The sequence below is a fragment of the Homo sapiens genome, chromosome 1, assembly GCF_000001405.40.
Source record: "Homo sapiens chromosome 1, GRCh38.p14 Primary Assembly".
Classification (NCBI taxonomy): Eukaryota; Metazoa; Chordata; class Mammalia; order Primates; family Hominidae; genus Homo; species Homo sapiens.
The window spans coordinates 12,842,388-12,843,882 of NC_000001.11; positions in this window are offsets into that span (position 1 = coordinate 12,842,388).

A 1,495-nucleotide genomic window follows, 5' to 3' on the forward strand; every position below is an offset into this window, starting at 1 on the left:
AGGACTCATTCACTGATTCCCTCCACAAACATGGAGGTTTACTAATATGTGTCCTTCATAGTCCTGAGTGTGAGATAGGGAAGGGTTGAATCTCTTCCTGATATTAGATAGAAAGAAAGAAAACTTGAAAGTATCTTTGTTGAGGGATCCTTGGCCACATCAAATTTATCAAAATTTTTCAGAGTTAAAACAGTTTTCAAAGACGGAGTTGACAGTCCCCAAGAAAACACAATAGAAATCTTCATGTATCCAATGATCACCTGGGTGGTATAATCTCATTTTTTTTGGTGTGGGTGAAGCTGAATCTCACTTTGTCGCCCAGGCTGGAGTGCAGCGGCTCCATCTCAGCTCACTGTAACTTCCGCCTCTGAGATTCAAGCAATTCTCATGCTTCAACCTTCCACGTAGCTGGGATTACAGGCATGCACCCCCACACCCATGTCTCCATTCGGGAGGAAGAATTACAGTGAGGATGTGATTGGTTTAAAATTAAGGTCAAAGATTCTCTTTGGTTAAGGTTTTTTGTTTGTTTGTTTTTGTTTTGTTTTTGTTTTTAGCAGGGTCTTACTCTGTTGCCCAGGCTGGAGTACAGCAGTGGTGTGAGCATGGCTCACTGCAGCCTCAATCTTCTGGGCTCAAGTGATTCTCCCATGTCAGCAAACCAAATAGCTGGGAATACAGACGCATGCTACCATGCCTGGCAAATTAAAAGATATATATATTTTGTAGAGGCTGACCACCATTGGCTCAAGGCTGTCATTCCAGCACTTTGGGGGGCTGAGGCAGGAGGATCACTTGATGTCAGGAGTTTGAGACCAACCTGGCCAGCATGGTGAAACCCCACCACTACTAAAAATACAAAAATTAAGCAGGCATGGTGGCAGAGGGATGTAATACCAGCTACTCAGGAAGCTGAGGCATGAAAATTGTTTGAGCCTGGGAGGAAGAGGTTGCAGTGAGTTGAGCTCTTGCCACTGCACTCCAGCCTTGGCAACAGGGTGAGGCTCCATCCCTGCTTCAAAAAAAGAATGTTTTGTAGAGCTGCGTTTTTGCCATGTTGCCCAGGTTGGTCTCAAACCGCTGAGCTCAAATGATCCTCCCGCTTTGGCCTCCCAAGGTGTTGAGGTTATGGGCATGAGTCATTGCTCTCATCAAGAATTTTGAAATGACATAAACCAAAGCACAATCCAATTTTTTGAAATAAAGACAAAACTGCATATAGAGGAAAAAATTCAAATCTTCAAATTGTTCATATATATATATAAAAGACAGATATAGCTTGGTGCCATCATAGGCTGCACTGTCCCTGTCCCAGACCGACTGACTATAGGTCAGATGGGAGTGTCCTTCCAGAAATGAGTGACTTACTAGATCTGGACTGAGTTTGCAGCATGCTTAGACCTCAGGAAGAACCAAGCAGGAACTCCAGACTTGAAGACTTTGGGTCTCTCCTGTGGGTCTTCAGAAACTTTTATTGATCTTTCTAATCACAACT